The sequence below is a fragment of the Homo sapiens genome, chromosome 22 (assembly GCF_000001405.40).
Source record: "Homo sapiens chromosome 22, GRCh38.p14 Primary Assembly".
NCBI lineage: Eukaryota > Metazoa > Chordata > Mammalia > Primates > Hominidae > Homo > Homo sapiens.
The window spans coordinates 19,927,805-19,949,948 of record NC_000022.11 but is presented as its reverse complement, the minus strand read 5'-3'; the positions used below and the strand labels follow the sequence as shown (position 1 = coordinate 19,949,948).

Sequence of the window (22,144 nt, the reverse complement as noted above, 5' to 3'; positions counted from 1 at the left end):
ACTGGCTAAAGGTATTCTGGTCTGTTAATAAACATGTACTTGGCACTTAAAAACATTGTACTATAAAAAGGATATACCTCTAGAGATTATAAGATGGTATATTCATAAAATTTGCCAACAAACTGGTAAATGACAGACAATTTCCAATTGTCTTCTTCCCAGTTTTACTTGTAAAATACAAGTTATGGCCGGGCGTGGTGACTCATGCCTGTAATCTCAGTGCTTTAGGGGGCTGAGGTTGGAGAATTACTTGAGCCCGGGAGTTCAAGGGTGCAGTGAGTCCTGATTGTGCCACTGCACTCCAGCCTGGGCAAAAGAGCAAGACGCTGTCTCTTTAAAAAAAAAATACCGGTTACTAATGGTTAAAAATTATAATCAATATATGAAAACAAAACTCCTAGAAACAATAAGAATGAGGGAAACAATTTCCTATACAAAGTATGGGAGGAAGATAGGATGTGTTTTTATATGAAAAGTATGCAAAGAATGTAGAGTGTTTTTGTTAAAGAAAGGGATGTAATTTTGTCCTGAAGTAAAATTACAAAAAGAGGAAAAATATGGGACAAAGCCTGAATGGCCCAGGAATTCGAGACAAGCCTGGGAAACATGATGAAACCCTGTTTCTATAAAAAAACTCAAAAATTATTAGCCTGGCATGGTGGTACATGCCTGTAGTCCCAGCTACTTGGGAGGGTGAGGCAGGAGGATCGCTTGAGCCCAGGAGGTCAAGGCTGCAGTAAGCTGAGATCTCACCACTGCACTCCATCCTGGGTGACAGACTGAGATTCTGTCTCAAAACAAAAGCAACTGTGAATGGATACAGAAAGTTATCCCTATGTTTCCCAGGCTGGTCTTGAACTCCTGGCCTCAAGAAAGTCTGCAGAAAAGAAATTTTATGTTATGAGGTCAAAGCTGGCTAGAATTGACCTCATAATCATTGAATGGATTTATGTATAAAGTTTCTTTAAATTTTTTTTTTTTTTTTTTTTTTTTTGAGACAGAGTCTCGCTCTGTTACCCAGGCTGGAGTGCCATGGTGTGATCTGGGCTCACTGTAACCTCTGCCTCCCAGGCTTAAGCAATTCTGCTGTCTCAGCCTCCCAAGTAGCTGGGACCACAGGCACATGGCACCACGCCCAGCTAATTTTTGTATTTTTAGTACAGGTGGGGTTTTGCCATGTTGGCCAGCCTGGTCTTGAACTCCTGATCTCAGGTGATCTGTCCACCTTGACCTCCCAAAATGCTGGGATTATAGGCGTGAGCCGCTGCACCCAGCCTAAATTTTTTTTAGTGACAGAGTCTCACTCTGTTACTGAGGCTGGAGTGCAGTGGTGCAATTACAGCTCACTGCAACCTTGAACTCCTGGGCTCAAGTGATCCTCCCGCCTCAGTCTTCAGAGTACATGGGACTACAGACATGTACCACCATGCCCAGCTAATTTTTCAACTTTTTGTTTTGTAGAGACAGGGCCTCAGCATGTTTCTCAGGCTGGTCTCAAACTCCTGGGCTCAAGGAGTCCTCCCTCCTCGGACTCCCAAAGTGTTGGGATTATAGGCGTGAACCACTGCATGTGGCCTGTGACATTGTCTTGATCTCAGACTGACTTGAGATTTCCTGGAGGGCCCCTGGAAGACCTCAAAGGATCTGTCCTGTGACCTTATAAGAGAGATGTTAAACTAATTAGGTTTATTTCAATGGTGAATTTTGTGGGCAGCAAGTCGCCCAGGTGCCGAGGCAAGAGACCGAGGGCACGAGCTGTTCCAGTATAATAAAGAAAATATATAAAATAAGAATAGTTACATTAGATATAGATCATAGATATGATTATATATGAATATTGTTAATCATTAGTTTGTAGCAATTACTCTTTATTCCAATATTATAATAATCTTCGCTCTACAATTATAACCTAGGAGAAACCAGGCCATACAGTGATAAGAGCTGAAGGGACACGGTGAGAAGTGACCAGAAGACAAGCGTGTGAGCCTTCTGTTATGCCCGGACAGGGCCACTAGAGGGCTCCTTGGTCTAGTGGTAACGTCAGCGCCTGGGAAGACGCCTGTTACTTAGCGGACCTTGGTCTAGCAGTTGCGTCAGTGCCTAGAAAAAGCACCCGTTACTTAGCAGACCGGGAAAGGAAGTCTCCCTTTCCCTGTGGGAGTTAGAGAAGACTCTGCTCAACCACCTCTTGTGGAGTGTCAGGTTTGCCCACAGTTATCCGGAGGCCTAACCGTCTCCCTGTGATGCTGTGCTTAAGCAGTCACGCTCCTGGTCCGCTTTCATGTTCCACCCTGTACCTGGCTATGCCTTCTAACTAGCAGTAACAAAATTAGTGAAAGTACTAAAGGTCTCTGAAATACAGAAATAATGACATAAGCTGTCTCCTCTCGCTGTCCGCCTCGGCTGCCAAACAGGGAAGGGCCCCCGTCCAGTGGACACGTGACCCATGTGACCTTACCTGTCACTGGAGATAGCTCACACTCCTTACCCTGCCCCCTTGTCTTGTATCCAATAAATAACAGCGCAGCCTGGCATTCGGGGCCACTACTGGTCTCCGCATCTTGGTGGTAGTGGTCCCCGGGCCCAGCTGTCTTTTCTTCTATCTCTTTGTCTTGTGTCTTTATTTCTACGATCTCTCATCTCTGCACACGGGGAGAAAAACCCACAGACCCTGTAGGGCTGGACCCTACAGAATTTCATGCAAGGTGCTGTCAAATAAAAAATGTTATTTAGGGCCGGACGCGGTGACTCACGCCTGTAATCCCAACACTTTGGAAGGCCAAGGTGGGCAGGTCACCTGGGGTCAGGAGTTCAAGACCAGCCTGGCCAGTGTGGCGAAACCCCATCTCTACTAAAAATACAAAAATTAGCTGGGTGTGATGGTGCACACCTGTAATCCCAGCTACTTGGGGGGCTGAGGCAGGAGAATCGCTTGAGCCCAGGAGGCGGAGGTTGCAGTGAGCCGAGATCGTGCCACTGCACTCCAGCCTGAGCAACACAGTGGGACTCTGTCTCAAAAAAAAAAAAAAAAAAAAAAACTAAAAAAAAATTTTTTTTAATGCTATTTAAACTTCCTTGAGTTACATGCATATTGGTAAATGTTAATATAAGGATTCCAGATATTGTATAAAGTTCCCACAAACTGGTGAATACCCTTCTGCCAATGACATGTCCTCATATAACAGCAATCATCATTCTGGTTATTATTTAAAATGCTATGTGTCATAAACAACCAACATTCCTTGTAAATCGTTTGATTTTGTAATGATCTCTCATTAGATATTTAACTACACTATTTTAAGTCTTTTGTCATTAGAGTTTTACTCTGATGCTTTCCTGAAATCTCTTGCAATCAGCTACAGGGCAAAGTGCTTCATCTTCAACAAAAAGGGACCAATGAAAAGGCCCATGACAGGTACCATGGGGTAGGCTTCTGACAGCATTTCTTTATTTCTTTTTTTGAGATGGAGTCTCACTGTGTTGCCCAGGCTGGAGTGCAGTGGCGTGATCTTGGCTCACTGCAACCTCCATGTCCCGGGTTCAAGCGATTCTCCCACTTCAGCCTCCCGAGTAGTTGGGATTACAGGCGTCTGCTACCACAACTGGCTAATTTTTGTATTTTTTGGTAGAGACAGGGTTTCACCATGTTGGCCAAGCTGGTCTCGAACTCCTGACTTCAAGTGATATAGCCACGTTGGCCTCCCAAAGTGTTGGGATTACAGGCCTGAGCCACTGCACCTGGGCGTGACAGCATTTCTTAACTTTGAGATCACATGACTGCACTGAGCCAGGATCTCCACTGGTTGAGAAAAGATGGGTTCATGTACCTGCTAGCCCAAGATCAAGCAGAACAAGAATTCAGTACCTGCATGCAACTGAGTAAACTGCTGAAGGATGATTACAGTCTTTTTATGACTTTTGTTCAGAATATTGTTGGCTCTTTATGTTTTATTTTCTGAATATTAAAAAAAGAAACCTTTCCCCGGCTGGGCACGGTGGCTCACGCCTGTAATCCCAGTACTTTGGGAGGCCGAGGCGGGTGGATCACGAGGTCTGGAGAGCGAGACCATCCTTGCTAACACAGTGAAACCCCATCTCTACTAAAAACACAAAAAATTAGCCGGGCGTGGTGGCAGGCACCTGTAGTCCCAGCTACTCGGGAGGCTGAGGCAGGAGAATGGTGTAAACCCAGGAGGCGGAGCTTGCAGTGAGCTGAGATCACGCCACTGCACTCCAGCCTGGGGAACAGAGTGAGACTCTGCCTCAAAAAAGAAAAAAAGAAAGAAACCTTTCCCTTTTCTCTTAACCTATCAATGACTCGTAATATTATAGTAAATGATACTTCTCTAAACAAAATTGAAGCAATTATCTTTTTCTTCCGGCCTGACCCCTCCAAAAATCAGAAACTATTATTGAGTATTCTATTTTCATGGCAATATAGTTATTGAATAACTTCAATAAGAATCTGTTCTCCTTGTAACAGGACACAATTGGAAACACTGGTTCTATTACCAAGGTTTGGACTGGAATGTCCTGTTTGAGGATGATGCACATAGAATCAGCTATGACCAGATGGCTTTCAGGTTGACTTTGTGGAGCCATTGCTTACAAAGAGCTCTTGAAAAATTTGGCCTGGTATGTGGCTTACGGGGTTCTTGGTCTTACATGTGAGTAAGGAAAGTCACTTCCAAATATCCCAAGGTTCTAAGGCCCAGGAACCTTGGGATATTTCAGGGACCTCGAGAAGAGAGGAATTCACCCAAATCTATAGACACTGCAGGTGAAGTCTGGTTGGAAGTTCTTGGCTTGGCTTCCTAACCTCGAAAGGCTTTAAAAAGCTCAATCTAAGATTCCCTATTAAAAGTTTCAGCAAACTTAAAAAGGCCTGTGTGGTCAATTACTGTTCGTGCTGCATTTATGTAAATAATCAGGCCAAATTTAATGAGACCAGAATTATTTGGTAAATAAGAATAATCTCACTTTGATTATCTTCAATCAAAAGGGAAGGGTTTGTAAAGAGAAATGCTATGCTTCAGTGGAGAAATATAACACCCCCTTGGGAGTTATCAGATCCTAGTCTAGTTCACTGTCTTTTGTAGGTGTTTTGTTTTGTTTTGTTTTGTTTTTGAGACGCAGTCTTGCTGTGTCGCCCAGGCTGGAGTGCAGTGGTGTGATCTCGGCTCATTGCAAGCTCCACCTCCCGGGTTCACACCATTCTCCTGCCTCAGCCTCCCAAGTAGCTGGGACTACAGGTGCCCGCCACCACGCCTGGCTAATTTTGTATTTTTAGTAGAGATGGGGTTTCACCGTGTTAGCCAGGATGGTCTCGATCTCCTGACCTCGTGATCCACCCGCCTCGGCCTCCCAAAGTGCTGGGATTACAGGCGTGAGCCACCGCTCCCGGCCTAATTCTTTTTTGAGATGGAGTTTCGCTCTTGTTGCCCAGGCTGGAGTGCAGTGGTGCGATCTCGGCTTACTGCAGCCCCCCACCTCCCAGTTCAAGCGATTATCCCGCCTCAGCCTCCTGAGTGCACCACCACGCCCGGCTAATGTTTTGTATTTTTAGTAGAGACAGGGTTTTGCCATGTTAGCCAGGCTGGTCTCGAACTTCTGGACTCGGGTGATTTGCCCACCTCGGCCTCCCGAAGTGCTTGGGATTACAGGCATGAGCCACCGGGCCCGGCCTATCCTTGAGGTTTTATGATCTGCCTGTCACTTGGACTGTCACTGCCTTCCTACACGTCAGCCCTTACCAAATCCTCCCATCTACTTTCCTTCAGTATCTGGCTACCTACCACTCTCTTCAGACTGACATTTCTAATTTGTCTCCTCCCTGACTTGGTGTCACCAAGAACTCAAATCCCTATTGGGACTCAGGTGGTCTTGTAGCTGCCCTTTGCCCCCAGGATCTGAAAAAAACAGCCCTGCAGACTGAAGCCGGAAAACTTGATATAAACTTGAAAGAACTCAGAACCACAACAGATTCTCCAGGGGCAGCCTTTGTGCCTGGAGCTGCTGCTACACAGGCCGCCCAGGAAGACCCCCCCTCCAGCTCCTGCATGCCACATGCTCTCTCCAGAAAGTAACCACAACTGGGATACCAATGCCTATGCCATCATCACAGACTTCACACCACACACCAGGAAGTCCCTGAGTGCCCCTGCTGGCCTTGTTAGGGCCCAACGGCCAGAAACCTCAACTGCTGCCCTGTAGGCTCAAAAACTGGGTTTATCAACAGCTCCATTCATCTTTGTTTTTATTTCTTTCTTTCTTTTTATTTTTTTATTTTATTATTATTTTTTTTTTTTAAAGATAGGGGCTCTCTGTTGCTCAGGCTGGAGTATAGAGGCAAGATCATGGCTCATGGCAGCCTCCGCCTCCCAGGCTCAAACGATCTTTTCACCTCAGCCTCCCAAGTAGCTGGAACTATAGGCCCATGCCACCACGCCGGGCTAATTTTTAAATTTTTTGTAGAGATGGGGTCTTTATGTTGCCCAGGCTTGTTTCAAACTCCTGGCCTCAAGTGATCCTCCTCGGCCTCCAAAAGTGCTGGGATTACAGACATGAGCCACTGTGCCTGGCCTGTTATTTTTGTTTCCTCATTAAATGCTTGACTGCTTGCATCATCCAGCAAAAATCCTTTGCTACCAAGTCTCAACAGATGGTCCCGCTGGTAGTTTATGAACACAACACAGAACAGAAAATGGACGGGGACTGTTGAGAGGAAAGAAGCAGGTCTCTGCTCTTCTTGCACAGGGGGAGTGCTGACAAAGACCCTCCCTCCCCACACTCCAGCCAGGCTCCTTAGAGTCCCCTTCTCCACTGGGCCTCACCCTGGCCTATCTAGGCTGGAACGAACACTAACATAGCTCCTAACAGCTCAAGGCCACATTCCCAGAACGATCCTAGCCCCCTCTAAAGTGCCTGCCTGAGAAGTTCAAGGCTGCCACAAGAATTTCCTGTGTGTTCCAGCCAACACCTGAGGATGGGGCCCCTGTCTCCCAGTCTCTGTGGGAGGTTGGGGGCCTGACTTCGGTAAGCCCCAGTGGCAAACCCAGATCAGTTGGTTTCACAGGGGCCAACCCTCCCTTCCCAGTTTTGGTGATTTTCTGTTTCCCTAACTCTACTGAGTCCCCACCCCTTCCCACTCCCTCACTCTCCCTTTAAACTCCAGGCACATCTAGACAAATCAGCATGGAGCCAGCTTTTTCTCATGTTGTCAGTAGTTACCAAGTAAAATCTGTTTTTTCTGCATTAACTAGTGTCTCACTGGGCTCTGCAGGGCAGCTCCTACGGTCCCTCAGGCTTGGAGGGTCACTTTAAACAATAAAAAGCAACAGGACACAAAAATCCCTGGCTGGAAAAATCCAAAAAGCAGGTCTGTTAGCAGGGCAGGCCCGGAGTGACTTCCCCTTTCTCTAACATTCCCACGTGGTCCTGCACACCACACATCCCCCCGACCCTGGGGAGTCCTGGGCCCCTTCCTGGTGGAGCAGCCTCTCTCTTGCAGGGAAAGGCCCTGGGGTACCCCAAGGCCTCCAACAGGGAGCCTGTTGGAGAAGTCACCAAGGCCCTCTGAGTCTGGGGCTCCACAGACCCTCCCCCAGGCCTCCTGCAACTCTCCAGCTCTGAGAGTCTGATCCCAGCCCAAGGACCAAGTGGGACCCTCCCCTGTGACTCTACCACACCCTCACCAGGTCAAGCCCTACTCCAGGGAGAGGCTTATCCTCCTGGTCTGGACCCCCAACCCAGTCTTGAAGCGGGATCTCTCACCGCTATCTGGAGCCCCTCATCACAGCACAGATCTTCAACCTCAGCTTTCCACAAGGAGTCTGGGGACCCCACCCCGGTCCAAAGATCCCCACCCAAGGTCCGAATTCCCCAGTTCCCATCCAGATTCCCCACCCCAAGTCCGGAGACTCCCACCCAACGTCAGATCACTTCACAGCGGTCCGAATTCCCCACACCCTATCCCAGTGTTCCACCCTAGGTCTGAAGGCCCCCGCCCCGAATCCGGCCGCATTCGGCCCCGGTCTAGCCAGCGCTCTCACCTCTCCCGCGACGGCCCGCCCGGGACTGGACCCGCCCCGGTCCGGCGCAGGCAGCGCGGCGGGCAGCCCTAGCTGCCCCAGAAGCCCCACGACGATGGCGGCAATGGCGGTGGCGCTGCGGGGATTAGGAGGGCGCTTCCGGTGGCGGACGCAGGCCGTGGCGGGCGGGGTGCGGGGCGCGGCGCGGGGCGCAGCAGGTAGGATGGGGTCGGGGCGTCCCCGCGGTAGGTGTCCGCGCGGCCGGGGTGTCCTCGTGAGGGTGTCCGCGCGGCGGTGGCCAGGGTGTCCCCGTGGGGGTGCCCACGCGGGGGTGTCCACATACCGGCCTCTTGGTCTAGTCTTGCTCAGGAGTCCGGGCTGCTTCTAGCCACAAGTAGCCCCCTTCCCAGGTGGGGAAACTGGGGCTGGGTGCCTTGTCTAAGGTCCTGCTGTGCTGACTGCACCTGTGGTCTCCCAGAGCTGGTATCCCAGTAACAACTACAGTTCTGAAGATGATGATATCCCACCTCCCGAGGTCACCAGGCACCGGCCCCACTGGCCAGACTTCCCAACTTCTCCCCAGACCCCTAGACTCTAGAGGTTAGAGGCTGCACAGAGCAATGGGAGGATACACACTCGTCCTCCTGGAGCCCCTGAAGAACAGTTAACTAAATCAGGACAATAATCATAACTGAGCACTCGAAGCAGAGGCTGGGTGTCTGGTCACTCAGGACAGTTCAAGCCTCATCCTGTAGGACAGACTCCCCTAGATCCGACCAGAGCGCCACCATATCTGTTATGTGTGGCCAGTTTCATTCCATGCACGACAACATGGTCCCCCACCATGCAGGGGGCCCCTCGACCCAGCCCCCTGGATGCTTGTGACAGCGAGCAGCTCTCCCCACAGGCAGTGAGTGTAGAGGGGTGTAAGGACGGGGTCAGGGCTCCTTCCCAGGGATGGCGGCTATGGGAGGCATGGTGGCTGGCCCTCTGCCCGCGGTGGACTCGGGAGGGAGGGCTGACTGTGTGTGTGAATGGGCAGAGTTGGTGCTATGGAGGTTTTGGGGGTCTCCAGGACGGAGGGTGGCCCAACAGAGTTCTGGGAGGCAGTCACCACCTCGTGGCCTTGCTGAGACCTGGAACCCTCAGCCAGGGCACTCCATCTTTCAAAGCTTCTTGGCTGCATGCGTCAGGTGGGCAAGCTCAGGAAGGTTAAATGCACCCGTGCTGGCGGAGTCCCATAAAAGGGGATTCGGCATCAAAAGGAGGAAAAAGGTTCAAAGGGCATTTATCATGGGGTTCAGAATCACGGATGTGAGGGGCGGTAGTGGGGACAACAGACAGAAAAGCTTCCCCTTCCCATACTCACAGTCCAGACACGGCAATAGCCAAATTCCAAATTTCTAGGTATTCTGGACTCAGAATGGGGAATATCATACGAGACTTAGGGGGATAATGCCCTTATCTTCCTATTTTAAGGGAAAGAACAAACTGAACCTTCTATGCAAAATAGGATGATGATCCTGGTCCTCCCAGTAAGAAATAAAATAAGTAGTCTCCAGGCATTCCTTTCCGCCAGAGGAGCAACTGTTTTTTAAATAGCCCTTTCGTGCCCAGTCTGTTACTAAACCATATGAGTTGTTTTTTTGGGGTTTTTTTTTTTTTTTTTTTTTTGAGACAGTGTCTTGCTCTGTCGCCCAAGCTGGAGTACAGTGGTGCGATCTCAGCTCACTGCAAGCTCCGCCTCCCGGGTTCACGCCATTCTCCTGCCTCAGCCTCCCGAGTAGCTGGGACTACAGGCATCTGCCACCACGCCTGGCTAATTTTTTTTGTATTTTTAGTAGAGACGGGATTTCACTGTATTAGCCAGGATGGTCTCAATCTCCTGACCTCATGATCCACCTGCCTTGGCCTCCCAAAGTGCTGGGATTACAGGCATGAGCCACTGCGCCCAGCCGAGTCATTTTTTAATACTACTGCATGTGAGTTAACACAATCATTCCCAAATTGAAGTTTTAGATGGGCCCTCAAAATTTTTAGGATATGGTTTTCCTACAGGTTTATATTGAAAGTATGGGGTATCTCCTATTACTCCTCTTTTTATTTGTCTTAAAGGAGAAAGGGAGAGGCCAGAGACCAAATGTCCCCATTTCCCTATAGCTAATCTCTCTGGAAGACAAGCAGCCCAGACTTGAGCTTCTAGATGGATACAACCAGGTGCATGTCCAAGGCACAGAGGAGGGTATTTATAACCCATAGTAACATTAAATGCAGTGCCTTCTCCTGGCTGAGCGGTGCAACGGTCATCTGTAGTTCCAGGCATCCACACACTATCGTTAGTATAGATTTCTGCAGGAGCATCCATCCAGGTGAGAGGTCGAATAAGTGGAGGAAAAGGCACATAAGCCCAATAAGAATAATTTTGTGTAGCAGGTAAATCAGTTTAAGGGGAAACTGGTGAGACAGAAAGTGTAAGGAAGATAATTATTAAATAAAACCTATTGTAAGTGAGATCCAGTGCTGAAGGAGGAAGAGAAGAACAGAGGGATGTTATTTTCAGGCTAATAGAAATGGTGAGATTTTTAGGTTCGTAAGGAGAAAAAGATAATTAGGAGAAGTGGGATTAGTTAGAGGGGTTTACATTGCCATTAGGGAGGATTGAACCAGACCCATTTTGATTTGGCATGCCAGTTTCTGAGGAGTCGGTACAGATCTCATCAGGTATGAGGGCAGTCTCTGACGCGAACGTCTCTTCCTCGTGGTTTTTATTGTCAGTATTCACACGAAGTTTAAGTCTCCTAGTGGGCACCCAGACGGGATTGACGATCTCCTGGTAAAACACAAGCATACCCTCTTCCCCACGTTATAATTGTTCCAGGTTCCCAGGTATTGGTTTGGGAGTTTTTCCATGACACTGGCTTGCCTTCGTTTAGGGAGAATTTTTTGCCTGTATAATGGCATTTAGCTGCAGTCAGAGTATTGTTTTTAGGAACATTTAGAAAGCTTAAACAATGCTAAATATAATTGGGAGTGGGGAGTAGTTAAATTATGCTTTTAAACCAGCCTTGTCTTCTTTTACAGTAACTTGAAGAGGTTTAGTAATTTTTTCACGTTTTGGACCGAGACCGAGTCTGGAAACAAACCCCATGTTTTCCATTATATGTTGACTGGGAGCACTGTAAAAGTTATGTGGAATATTAATTTCAGCCCCAATTTGTGCCAGCAAATCTCTGCCCCGAAGATTAATGGGGATGGGCATGATATAAGGCTGAATTGTTCCCTTTTGACCATCAGGGCCAGTGCAAGCCAAGATAAATGTGCTCTGGTGAACTTCTTCAGCTTTTCTAACACCTTCTAGTTTCATGTTAGTGGGATGTTTAAGCCAGGAGGAAGGCCATAAATTAGAGGAAATAATAGAAACATCAGCCCCAGTATCAACTAGGCCCTCAACCTTTTTTCCTTGAATGTGTATGGTGCAGGTAGGCCATTGTTTAGAAATTACATTAATCCAATAAGCGGCTTTTTCACCGCTGGAGCCCATCCCAGGGCCCCATGTCTTATCTCCTTTGTTTAAAACAATGTTAGGTAGTAAAAGTAATTGAGCAATTGACTCACTGGCCGGAATGGAAACAGGAACTTTGGCAGACACCATAAGTTTACATAAGTTTAATCTCATCAGAGGAATCAGAATTAATGAGACTAGTATGAACTATGATACCTTTAGTATCATGAGGTGGATGCCCTGCCTAACACCAGGCCCACCGAACCTTGAGGTAAAGGGCCAGTGACCCCCATGGGGACAATTAAAGGCAAAGAATTAGGTAGTAAATTTAGAGGAATGGTACTACAGAGATCGACCGCCCTGCTGCCTACTGTGGAGGTAGACAAGCATTGTACTGAGACAGAAGAAGAGGCTGGGACCCATCTGGATTGGCTGTAGGTAAATTTGTTTGTGCTGGGGGCTGCGTTGGGACTGCTTGACGCAAAAACACAACATTGGTCTGAGTCCGAGGTGTCCCATTTGATATTGGGGCCTGGGACTGGCCTTGCTTCCTGTTTCCCTGGTTCTGTGGCAAGGGATTTTCATCTATATCAGACTGAGTGGCAAGTACTTGCCCAATGTTTACCCTTACGACAACGCAGGCAAACAGTAGCAGGAGCATTTGGCCGTGTTTGTTGAGCCGGCTTGGCCGCTTTTAAGTTTTTAACAGTGTAGTTTTTTTGGGTATGACCAAGTTGGCCACAATTATAGCAGGCTCCAAGAAAAGAATCAGTCGAGCCAGTTTGGTTGCCGTGCTTCATGGCCGGTGCCCACAGAATAGCTCTGTGGGTCTCCGATCCAACGCCTTCACAAGCTTTAATATATGCAGGCAACACCTCATGATCAGGTAAATTTTGACGTAGGATGGAATGCACGGCCATTTTACACTCATGGTTCGCATTTTGAAAAGCTAACATATGAAGAAGAATACCTTGAGTGTGCTCATCAGAGACAGATTTTTCAACAGCATCTTGTAATTTAGCTAAAAAATCAAGATATAATTCATTGTGACCCTGTTTAACAATAGTAAAAGAAACAGAAGCTTGGCCTGGGGTGCGTAATTTATCCCAAGCTCTCATACACACCTTTGTTACTTGTTCCGTGGTGAGAGCATCAAAGCCTAAATGAGCAGTAGTATCAGAGTAATTATCGGAGCCTGTGAGCTGAGCCTGAGTAATTGGAATGCCATCAGCCCGATTTAGCTGAGCCTGCAGGCGGGCCTCCTCTGACCACCAGGTATGGAATTGTAAATGCTGAGATGGAGTTAGAACAGCTTTTGCCAAAAGGTCGCAGTCTATAGGAAGCAAAATGACCTCGGTACAAAGAGTCTGTAATACCGTTTTAACATATGGAGAAGTAGGAACATACTGAGTACAAGCATCCTTGAATTCTTTTAAAAAGGTAAGATTGAGCGGCGTATATCGACACACTTGTACCCCTTGAGCATTAGGAGGTTCCAGCATGACCGAATAAGCCCACGCCTCTAATCTACTTGTTTGTTTTGGCGTAATAAGCATTGCATGAAAGTTTCAAGAGCAGGCACATGAGATAGAGTCGGCATAGAAGTGACAGGAAAAGTATGTATAGATAAGAGAAACTGAGATTGACGGGGTCGGACTGGTATAAGAGTGTGAGAAAGGGGCATTGGGGGAGCAGAAGAGGCAGAAGCATACTGGTGATTACTGGCCCAGTCCTGCACAACCAGAGTGGCAGGGGTGTCCCTGCATGAAGAAGGGTACAGAGAAGCAGGTTGAGTGGATGGCAAAGTGACCGGTTGAGGGACCAAAATGATAGGAGGGTGAGGGGCTGTGGTGGATGGGGGAGGGCCTGCAGAATTACAGGTAAATTGTAGTTTGGATGGCTCCGGAGGCAAAGACTGTAAAGGTTTGGAGAGGGAAGAGTTAGCATAGATATGGTCCTGGGCTGTCTGAGTTGGGGCCGCAGGAGCTACAAGTGTCGGCTCTTCGTGAAAAGAAATAAGATCATCAGGGGGTGATGTTAAGCCAAAGTCACTGGAGTTAGATATTGAATCCTCAGTATCGTCAGGTGGGGGAGGAGTAGGCAAAGGGAGGGGCTGAGCAGATAATGAAGGCCGAGTGGGAGAGGAAAGCTGAGGAAGAGGTAGAGGGTGGCCAGATTCAGAAAACTGTGGTAACTGCAGGGTGTCACGGGATTGGTATGTCATTAGGATGGCACGTACCAAGGCCCAATCACCCCAAACAGTGACAGGAACATAATTTCCTGTTGGGACCAGTTCTCGGAATTTTGCACCAACATGATCCCATAGTTCCACATCTAACGTTCCCTTTTCAGGAAACCAAGGACAGTGTTCTTCCACTGCCCTGAATAGGGTGACCATATTTTCCATGGGAACCCGAACTCCCCCATTTTAACAGGAATTTAATATAGCAGAGATAAGCATAATGTTTAGACTCTGCGTGACCCATAGTTACCCCGGAGAATACACAGACAACTCACCAATCGTTGGGGAGCCAAACAAGCATTTCTGTGGACTGGACCGATGAACATTTCTCCGCACCTACCAAAGGGAATCGGGTTCCCACATGCACTTAGGAAAAAGAAAACCACGTTGGGCGCCAGATATTGGGGGAACCTGCCCCTAATATTTCAACGTACGTTCTTTCTATTTTCTGTAAGTGTCAGCCGGCTGAGAAATGAAGAGAAAGAGTACAAAGAGGAATTTTACAGCTGGGCTGCTGGGGGTGACATCACGTATCGGTAGGACCATGATGCCCACCTGAGCCGCAAAACCAGCAAGTTTTTATTAAGGATTTTAAAAGGGGAGGGGTTGTGCCAATAGGGAGTAGGTCACAAAGATCACATGCTTCAAAGGGCAAAAGGCAGAGCAAAGATCACATGCTTCTGAGGAAACAGGACAAGGGCAAAATCAGAACTCCTGATAAGGGTCTATGTTCAGCTGTGCACATATTGTCTTGATAAACATCTTAAACAACGGAAAACATGGTTTAAGAGCAGAGAACCAGTCTGACCACAAATTTACCAGGACGGAGTTTTTTCCCCACCCTAATAAGCCTGAGGGTACTGCAGGAGACCAGGGCGTATTTCAGTCCTTATCTCAACCGCATAAGACAGACACTCCCAGAGTGGCCGTTTACAGACCTCCCCCCAGGAATGCATTCCTTTTCCAGGGTCTTAATAGTAATATTCCTTGCTAGGAAAAGAATTTAGCGATATCTCTCCTACTTGCACGTCCATTTATAAGCTCTCTGCAAGAAGAAAAATATGGCTCTTTTTGCCTGACCCCACAGGCAGTCAGACCTTATGGTTGTCTTCGTTCCCTAAAAATCACTGTTATTCTGTTCTTTTTCAAGGTGCGCTGATTTCATATTGTTCAAACACACGTTTTACAATCAATTTCTACAGTTAACACAATTATCACAGTGGTCCTGAGGTGATGTATATTATCAGCTTATGAAGATAACAGGATTAAGAGATAAAGACAGGCATAAGAAATTATAAAAGTATTACTTGGGGGCCCAGGCGCGGTGGCTCATGCCTGTAATCCTAGCACTTTGAGAGGCCGAGGCAGCCATATCACAAGGTGAGGAGATCAAGACCATCCTGGCTAACATGGTGAAACCCTGTCTCTCCTGAAAGTACAAAAAATTAGCCAGGTGTGGTGGCGGGTGCCTGTAGTCCCAGCTACTCAGGAGGCTGAGACAGGAGAATGGTGTGAACCCAGGAGGCGGAGCTTGCAGTGAGCTGAGATTGTGCCACTGCACCCCAGCCTGGGCGACAGAGAGAGAATCTGCCTCAAAAAAAAAAAAAAGAAAAAAGTATAAAAGTATTACTTGGGAATTGATAAATGTTCATATTGAAATGAAATCTTCACTATTTATGTTCCTCTGCCACGGCTCCAGCCAGTCCCTCCATTCGGGGTTCCTGACTTCCTGCAACACAGGTGTGAGCCACTGTACCCAGACTAGGGGTGCAGTTTTTTTTTTTTTTTTTTTCTGAGACAGAGTCTCACTCTGTTAACCAGGCTGGAGTGCAGTGGTGCTATCATAGCTCACTGCAGCCTTGAACTCCTGGGTTCAACTCACCCTCCAGCCTCAGCCTCCCTAGTAGCTGGGACTGTGGGCCCTGCAGTTTCTCCTTTTAGAGTAGGAAGACCTGAACTGTCCCAGGCTTGGAGTGGGTGGGCGATGCAGCCCCTGAACAGGAGCCAGAATGACAACACCTGCTGCCAGGAAAGAGCTCTAGATAGAGCAGCCATACAGGAGGGCCCCTGAGGTGGCACCCTGAGGTGGCCAGCCTGCCTGTGGGTGCACATTTTGGGGGACCCTTCCACTTGCCCTCACTGGTGCAGTGCTGCATTCTCTTGGGCCTTGCTATGAGCTCTGGGCTCCTGCTCTTTGCTGGCCTGTACCAGGCAGTGGGTTCAAAGAGGAGCAGAAAATTAATGGACAATATGTCAGAAGGCAGAGGCAAGACAGACACTTGCTGGGGCCAAGCCCTGCAGGTGGAGAGGGTATGCCTGGCTAAAGTGGGTGAAAGGCAAGGTTATGAGGTTCTCCAGGACACTGGAGTGCACAGGTGGTGTGTCCCCAGGTAACGCCTGCCACCCAGCCCTTCCTCCCACAGAACAGCATCTGCCCTACCCACCTTTGAGGTACTTTGGGGTCCTTCCTTCCCAGCAGGCTACCCAAGCCCTTCCAAGTGCTTAAAGGCAGATTTCCTATGCTTGCAAACGACTGCCCTATGCCAGTGTTTATCAGCCCGAGAGGGCTCCTGGGTGTGCACAGGGGGCGAGCAAGCTGCCCAAGATAAGCACATCCATACAGACAGCTGCTCACCCTGCCTGATAGCAGACAGAGGGGGCACAGTGCGAGGCTGCAGGGCAGGATGACCTAACAAGGGCCCTGCTATGGCAACAAGAAGGACAGGCACCTGCCATGGAAGGTAGGGACGTTCTGAGCAAAGCTTCCGGCTACCAGGCAGCTGGAGGAGAGAGATGCTTCTCCATCAGCAGGTTCATGCTCCCCGGGGGACCTGGTGGCATTTTCTCCCTGACCAGCAGTCCTTGGTTCTCTAGACTTATATTAAAGCCATTAGAATAATTTACAACAATTTAGGCCTTTCCAGAGCCCTTGAGTTGAATTAGGAATTGAGTGTGCTTTGGACTGGCTGTTGGAACCGAGTTGTGGCTCTGTCAGTTCCCGCAGGTGCGCACACATCTCACGTGCACTCAGAGGCTGGCTGCCAGGTGAAAGAGTGGGTGGGTTTGGTTGTGGGGCAGGCTCGCTGCAGGCCATGGCCTGAGTGCCTGGATGCAGCTTCCCAAGCTTTCTCAGCTGTGAGCCAGGGCTCCTCTAGGCTCCAGCTCTTGTATCCTTTAGGAGTGCATGTTCTAGACCTGTCTGTGGGGCATCTGCAGGGCCAGGGTGTGGAGAGACATGACACTCCAAGTACACTCTCTGCAGCCTTGCCTGCCTAGGAAGGTGGAGGTGGCTGCAAAGATAAGTGCAGCCTTCTCATGGCAGACGCTAGGCTCTGATGGAGGTGTTGGGCAGGTTGCCCAGCCTTGTATGACAGACCCTGCTCTGATCATGGAACCTCTTGGCCTTGTCTGAAGCAGCGACCGGCTCCAGATGCTCTGGGAGGGTGGTGCTTCTCATCTGGGCAGGCTCGTGTCTGCAGAGGGGCTGAGGGCACTACTTGTTTTATACCCTAGAGTCTTGTCATCAGTCCCCACCCTGCCCTCACCCCAGCAGACTGATGACTTGCTATTATTTCTTCCTTCCTTCAGCAGGGAGTTGGCTGGTGCCTGGTGCTGGGTGTCCCGGACCTCAGGCCCAGTTCAGTGTACTTCCCCTCTCTACTTCCTCCCTCCAGTCCCTTCTCCATCCCTCCCTTTTTTGGCTGCCCCTTGCCTGCCTTCCTCGCCAGTAGCTTGCAGAGTAGACACGATGACACCTTTTGCAGGCTAAAAAGGCTGAGAGTGGCACTATGTGCAGTGAGCCACCATGGAGGACCAAGGTGAGGCGACACCACAACCAGCCCAAAAGGAATTCCAGGGATGAAACCTGAGCCCAGGCAGCTCTCCCTGTGCCCAGGGTGGCTTCCCTCCTAGCTGACTGCAGCTGGGCACACCAAGACCCTGGCTGTGTGCACTGGCCAGCTGTGAGGGACAGGGGCTGCTTGTGCTTTTATTCTTTTTTTTTTTTTTTTTTTTGAGACGGAGTCTCACTCTGTCTCCCAGGCTGGAGTGCAGTGGCGTGGTATCCGCTCACTGCAAGCTCCGCCTCCCGGGTTCACGCCATTCTCCTGCCTCAGCCTCCCGAGTAGCTGGGACTACAGGCGCCCACCACCATGCCCGGCTAATTTTTTTGTATTTTTAGTAGAGACGGGGTTTCACTGTGTTAGCCAGGATGGTCTCGATCTCCTAACCTTGTGATCCACCCGCCTTGGCCTCCAAAAGTGCTGGGATTACAGGCGTGAGCTACCGCCCCTAGCCTGTGCTTTTATTCTTGCTCACTTGTGACGGAGGGCAGCCTTCACAACTGAAAGGCACGTGGACTTGAGAATGTTTTAGTCCACCTTGGTGGCTCATGCTTGTAATTCTAGCACCTTGGGAGGCCAAGGTGGAAGGATTGCTTGAGGCCAGGTGTTTGAGACCAGCCTGGGCAACATAGCCAGACCCCATCTCTACAAAACAAAAAAATTTAGCTGGACGTGGTGATCGGTGCTTGTAGTCCCAGCTATTCTGGAGGCTGAGGCTAGAGGATCACTTGAGCCCAAGAGGTAGAGGCTGCAGTGAGCTGTGATTGTGCCACTGTGCCCCTGTCGTGGGGGCCCTTCCGGGTCTATGTCCCAGCCCTGTGCTGACCGTGTTCCTTCTCACCTTTCATCCCTCCCCCAAGCAGGGCAGTGGACTACAATCTTCTGGGTGACAGAGTGAGATCCTGTCTCAAAAATAAATAGAATAAAAAAGAAAATATCTTAGTTCTGTGTCTGGCTGAGAACACTGGGTGAGGTTTGAGTTCAGAGTGGTTGGTATGGTGTGCGTGTGATTTGCAAAGATGATCACACACGCCCACGGCCAACCTCACCACCATATGGCTTGGTCTCTGGATTTGCACAGACTATGTGTATCGAGTCACTCTTTCTGCTCTGTTGTGTGGTGTCTTGTCACCCCTGACCATCACAGAATGGAGTGTCCAATCCTGATAAAATTGATCCTGTACCACGTTTAACCAGACAGACAGTCCGTCCCACCTCTCATCCCTTCTCTCAGCAGGTCAGCGGGACTATGATCTCCTGGTGGTCGGCGGGGGATCTGGTGGCCTGGCTTGTGCCAAGGAGGGTATGTATTCTGTATACTTCGTGGCAAGGCCTCGAAGCTTTTAGGGCCCCTAGAGAGGGTGGTGCTGTCCAGAAAACGTCCATGAGCAAAATGCGTTGCCTCCCTGCTGGGGTCACCCCAGTGGCCTCTGTGTTGTGGCTTGTTCCCTGCCACTCTCCAGCTGTCTGCTGTACCCAGCGGCCGCCGTGGCACTTCATGGCTGAACTGCCTTCCTCAGCTCCAGCCCTCCAGCTCTTCTGCTTTACTCACAGTGACAGCCCCAATCCGACTAGTCTCAGCTCCCACCACTCACACCCTCCGTGGGCTCCCCACTTTCCTTCACGTGCTTCTGGACAGTCCTCTCCTTCACCTTACTGTGGCTGTCACCCTGCCTGCCTGCTCTCTGCCCCTGCCCGGCTAGCTGCGAGGCTGGAGCTGCACCCTCCTGCTTGTCCCTGTCCTTGTTCTTAGTGCTGGTGCCTTCCCCCAGGGTCCATGGTCAGTTCTGCTGGGTGAGTCTTGTACTTGGCCTGGCACCCATTGAGTAAAGATGTTGGGCGAACGGGCTGGACCCAGAGGTGTCCAGAGATGACACTTTGCAGTTCTCTGCTAACCCACGTGATGCACAGGCCACCAGCACTTTGCCAGACTCTGTGCCCTGCTGTAGGAGTTCCTGGTCTGCTCTGGCCATGTCTACACAATGATAAGAGGGCAGTTGTGGTGAATGGGGAGGGAAGGGGATGAGAGGGAGGTGGGGCTGAAATGAGAGGGAGTTAACTGGGCACTTTGGCCCTGAAGCTGTGCTTCTCTGATGTCCAGTATTGGGCTCTAGAAGCATACATGGTGTAAAAGAAATCCACTACTCTTGCTCTGTGGGGGCCGGGGAGTGTGTAGGAACCTGGGAAGTCTCCTGGCCTATTGGGGATCCGCAGAGGCACCCAGGATCAGTGCCACACTGTACTCTCAGAACCACTCCCAGAAACGATGGCGCAGGCAGCCACGAGGCCTAGTGCTGTTCCTTTTAGCAGACCGGGCACCTGGGCTGTGCGTTCACTCCCATGCTGGGAGTGACCAGCTGCAGAGACCTGAGTCCCCTTTAATCCGGAATGTGGACAGCTCCTGGGTATGTCTCCGCCTTTCATGAGAGTGGCATTTCCCTGCAGAGGATGACGTGGTTTTGTGGCTTTTTTGAGATGAACTGTACCTATCAAAATGGGCAACCTGATCATTCTTATGTGTGCATGTGTCCATGCAGCCAGTACCGCAGTCAAGATTGGCGAGTGTGTCCTCCACCCCGTTAGTCTGCCAGGGCTGCCGTAATAAACAGACTGCCATAACAGACTGGGCGGCTGAAACAACACATGCTTATTGTCTCTCAGTTCTGGAGGCTAGAAATCATCCAGGTGCGGGCAGGGCTGATTTCTTCTGAGGCCTCTCCGTTGGGCTGTAGATGGCAGTTGTCGTCCCTCTGTGCATGTCTATGTCCTAATCTCTACCTGTACCTGTCCTAATGGATCAGGTGGATGCCCTCTTATTTTGTTGGCTTTTTATTGGAGACAGGGTCTTGTTCTGCCTCCCAGGCTGGAGTGCAGTGGCGTGATCTCAGCTCACTGCAACCTCAAACTCCTGGGTTCAAGCCATCCTCCTGCCTTAGCCTCCCAAAATGCTATTACAAGTGTGGCCACTGTACCTGTATATGGCCTAATTTTTTTTTTTTTTTTTTTGAGATGGAGTCTCGCTCTGTTGCCCAGGCTGGAGTGCAGTGGTGTGATCTCAGCTCACTGCAACCTCTGCCTCCCGGGTTCACGCCATTCTCCTGTCTCAGCCTCCCGAGTAGCTGGGACTACAGGCGCCCACCACCACGCCCGGCTAATTTTTTTTATTTTTAGTAGAGACGGGGTTTCACTGTGTTAACCAGGATGGTCTCAATCTCCTGACCTCATGATCCACCCACCTCGGCCTCCCAAAGTGCTGGGATTACAGGCGTGAGCCACCGCGCCCGGCCTATGGCCTCATTTTAACTTAACTACCTCTTTTTTTTTTTTGCAAGCGAGTCTTGCTTTGTCACCCAGGCTGGAGTGCAGTGGTGAGATCTTGGCTCACTGCAACCTGTGCCTTCTGGGTTCAAGCGATTCTCCTGCCACAGCCTCCTGAGTAGCTAGGATTACAGGCGCCTGCCACCACACCTGGCTAATTTTTGTATTTTAGTAGAGACGGGGTTTCACCATGTTTGTCAAGCTGGTCTCGAACTTCTGGCCTCAAGGGATCCGCCTGCCTCGGCCTCCCAAAGTTCTGGGATTACAGGCATGAGTCACCGTGTCCAGCCAACTTAATTACCTTTTTGAAGACCCTATCTCTAAATACAGTCACATTCTGAAGTGCTAGGGTTTAGGGCTTCCACATAGGGATTTTGAGGGGATATGGCTCAGCCCATAACACCCCAACATTTTCTGAAACCTTGGCAGTTCCTTCCGGCTTCCCCCACTTCTGCATCCTAGGCAACCAGGCATGTGCTGTCTGTCACTATAGTTTGCATTTTCTATAATTGCGTATAAACGGAATGCTGCTGTATGTCATCTTCCTCTTCTGGCTTCTTTCACTCAGGGTAATGACCTTGAGACTCATCTTCGTTGGCGCGAGTGTCGATGGTTTCTTGCTTTTCATTGCTGAGTAGTGTTCTGTTTATGGCTGTGCCGTTTCGTGTACGTGTTCCCCTGTAGCTGGACACTTGAATTGTTTCCACCTTTTGGCCATTGTGGACAGTATTGCTGTGAACGTCTGTCTGTGTGTTTGTGTGGATATATGTTTTAAATTATTTTGGGTAAGTGCCTAAAAATGGACCAACTGGATCGTGTGGTATATCTCTTATTTAGGTATTTTTTCATTTCTTTTAGCAGCATTTTGTAGTTTCTTTTTTACTCAAGTTTTTTTTTTTTATTAAAAAAAAGAAAGATGAGGGTCTCTCTGTGTTGCCCAGGCTGGTCTCAAAATCCTGGGCTCAAATGATCCTCCCACCTTGGCCTCCCAAAACGTTGGGATTACAGGAATGAGCCACGGTGCCTGGCCTGTGGTTTTCAATGTCTACGTCTTTCACATATTTTATCAGATACATCCCTAAGTGTTTCATATTTTTAGAATAGTTTTATTGAGATATACCTCACATTACGTATGCATTTGTCCCTTGGTACCCGAGGACGACTGGGTTCAGGAACTCCCGCTGTTAGCAGAATCCATGGACACTGAAAT

At 49.3% G+C, this 22,144-nt stretch overlaps 3 protein-coding genes across 10 annotated transcripts in view, besides 10 other annotated features; 1 reads left to right on the top strand and 2 right to left on the bottom strand.

The window, feature by feature from the left end:
• The window catches only part of COMT (catechol-O-methyltransferase), a 28,204-nt gene extending 20,027 nt beyond the window's left edge, over window positions 1-8,177 (bottom strand). For both annotated transcript variants that reach the window (NM_001362828.2, NM_000754.4), the window contains exon 1: window positions 8,052-8,177. The gene's annotated coding sequence lies outside the window, so the exon portion shown is untranslated. The remainder of the gene's footprint in view (window positions 1-8,051) is intronic.
• Window positions 1,909-2,203: an enhancer, noted in NCBI's record as "tiled region #10527; K562 Activating DNase unmatched - State 25:Art, and HepG2 Activating DNase matched - State 5:Enh". NCBI's record gives its function as "activates a minimal TATA promoter and a strong SV40 promoter by Sharpr-MPRA in K562 cells, with weak activation in HepG2 cells {active_cell/tissue: HepG2 | K562}" and the evidence as "EXISTENCE:reporter gene assay evidence [ECO:0000049][PMID:27701403]".
• Window positions 4,993-5,561: an enhancer, noted in NCBI's record as "H3K27ac-H3K4me1 hESC enhancer chr22:19931911-19932479 (GRCh37/hg19 assembly coordinates)". NCBI's record gives its function as "activates a minimal SCP1, AML or CMV promoter by ChIP-STARR-seq in naive H9 embryonic stem cells {active_cell/tissue: H9 hESC(naive)}" and the evidence as "EXISTENCE:reporter gene assay evidence [ECO:0000049][PMID:30033119]".
• Window positions 5,562-6,131: an enhancer, noted in NCBI's record as "H3K27ac-H3K4me1 hESC enhancer chr22:19931341-19931910 (GRCh37/hg19 assembly coordinates)". NCBI's record gives its function as "activates a minimal SCP1, AML or CMV promoter by ChIP-STARR-seq in naive H9 embryonic stem cells {active_cell/tissue: H9 hESC(naive)}" and the evidence as "EXISTENCE:reporter gene assay evidence [ECO:0000049][PMID:30033119]".
• Window positions 6,710-6,829: an enhancer, noted in NCBI's record as "active region_18665". NCBI's record gives its function as "activates an Ori minimal core promoter by ATAC-STARR-seq in GM12878 lymphoblastoid cells {active_cell/tissue: GM12878}" and the evidence as "EXISTENCE:reporter gene assay evidence [ECO:0000049][PMID:35858748]".
• Window positions 7,490-7,659: an enhancer, noted in NCBI's record as "active region_18664". NCBI's record gives its function as "activates an Ori minimal core promoter by ATAC-STARR-seq in GM12878 lymphoblastoid cells {active_cell/tissue: GM12878}" and the evidence as "EXISTENCE:reporter gene assay evidence [ECO:0000049][PMID:35858748]".
• Window positions 7,930-7,979: a silencer, noted in NCBI's record as "silent region_13469". NCBI's record gives its function as "represses an Ori minimal core promoter by ATAC-STARR-seq in GM12878 lymphoblastoid cells {active_cell/tissue: GM12878}" and the evidence as "EXISTENCE:reporter gene assay evidence [ECO:0000049][PMID:35858748]".
• Window positions 7,990-8,119: a silencer, noted in NCBI's record as "silent region_13468". NCBI's record gives its function as "represses an Ori minimal core promoter by ATAC-STARR-seq in GM12878 lymphoblastoid cells {active_cell/tissue: GM12878}" and the evidence as "EXISTENCE:reporter gene assay evidence [ECO:0000049][PMID:35858748]".
• TXNRD2 (thioredoxin reductase 2) overlaps window positions 8,131-22,144 on the top strand; it is a 66,297-nt gene continuing 52,283 nt past the window's right edge. For 3 of the 7 annotated variants that reach the window (NR_147957.2, NM_006440.5, NM_001282512.3), the window contains exons 1-2: window positions 8,131-8,248; window positions 18,851-18,919. Coding sequence is in view for 5 of the 7 variants with exons in the window: in NM_006440.5 (NP_006431.2) it covers window positions 8,146-8,248; window positions 18,851-18,919 (172 nt within the window). In the remaining 2 variants the exon portion in view is untranslated. Of the gene's footprint in view, window positions 8,249-11,769; window positions 11,967-16,422; window positions 16,516-17,395; window positions 17,593-18,850; window positions 18,920-22,144 lie in introns of those variants that run through there. The other 4 variants (NM_001352300.2, NM_001352302.2, NM_001352303.2 and 1 more) reach the window with 4 other exon arrangements.
• Window positions 8,190-8,359: a silencer, noted in NCBI's record as "silent region_13467". NCBI's record gives its function as "represses an Ori minimal core promoter by ATAC-STARR-seq in GM12878 lymphoblastoid cells {active_cell/tissue: GM12878}" and the evidence as "EXISTENCE:reporter gene assay evidence [ECO:0000049][PMID:35858748]".
• Window positions 8,413-8,982: an enhancer, noted in NCBI's record as "H3K27ac-H3K4me1 hESC enhancer chr22:19928490-19929059 (GRCh37/hg19 assembly coordinates)". NCBI's record gives its function as "activates a minimal SCP1, AML or CMV promoter by ChIP-STARR-seq in primed H9 embryonic stem cells {active_cell/tissue: H9 hESC(primed)}" and the evidence as "EXISTENCE:reporter gene assay evidence [ECO:0000049][PMID:30033119]".
• Window positions 8,983-9,553: an enhancer, noted in NCBI's record as "H3K4me1 hESC enhancer chr22:19927919-19928489 (GRCh37/hg19 assembly coordinates)". NCBI's record gives its function as "activates a minimal SCP1, AML or CMV promoter by ChIP-STARR-seq in primed H9 embryonic stem cells {active_cell/tissue: H9 hESC(primed)}" and the evidence as "EXISTENCE:reporter gene assay evidence [ECO:0000049][PMID:30033119]".
• Window positions 11,960-16,282, bottom strand: LOC124905081 (endogenous retrovirus group K member 24 Gag polyprotein-like). The gene is made up of 2 exons (XM_047441689.1): window positions 16,219-16,282; window positions 11,960-14,110 (listed from the first exon to the last, which is right to left on the bottom strand). The coding sequence occupies exon 2, from the start codon at window positions 13,086-13,088 to the stop codon at window positions 12,123-12,125; it is 966 nt and encodes a 321-aa protein (XP_047297645.1). The 5' UTR covers window positions 13,089-14,110; window positions 16,219-16,282; the 3' UTR covers window positions 11,960-12,122.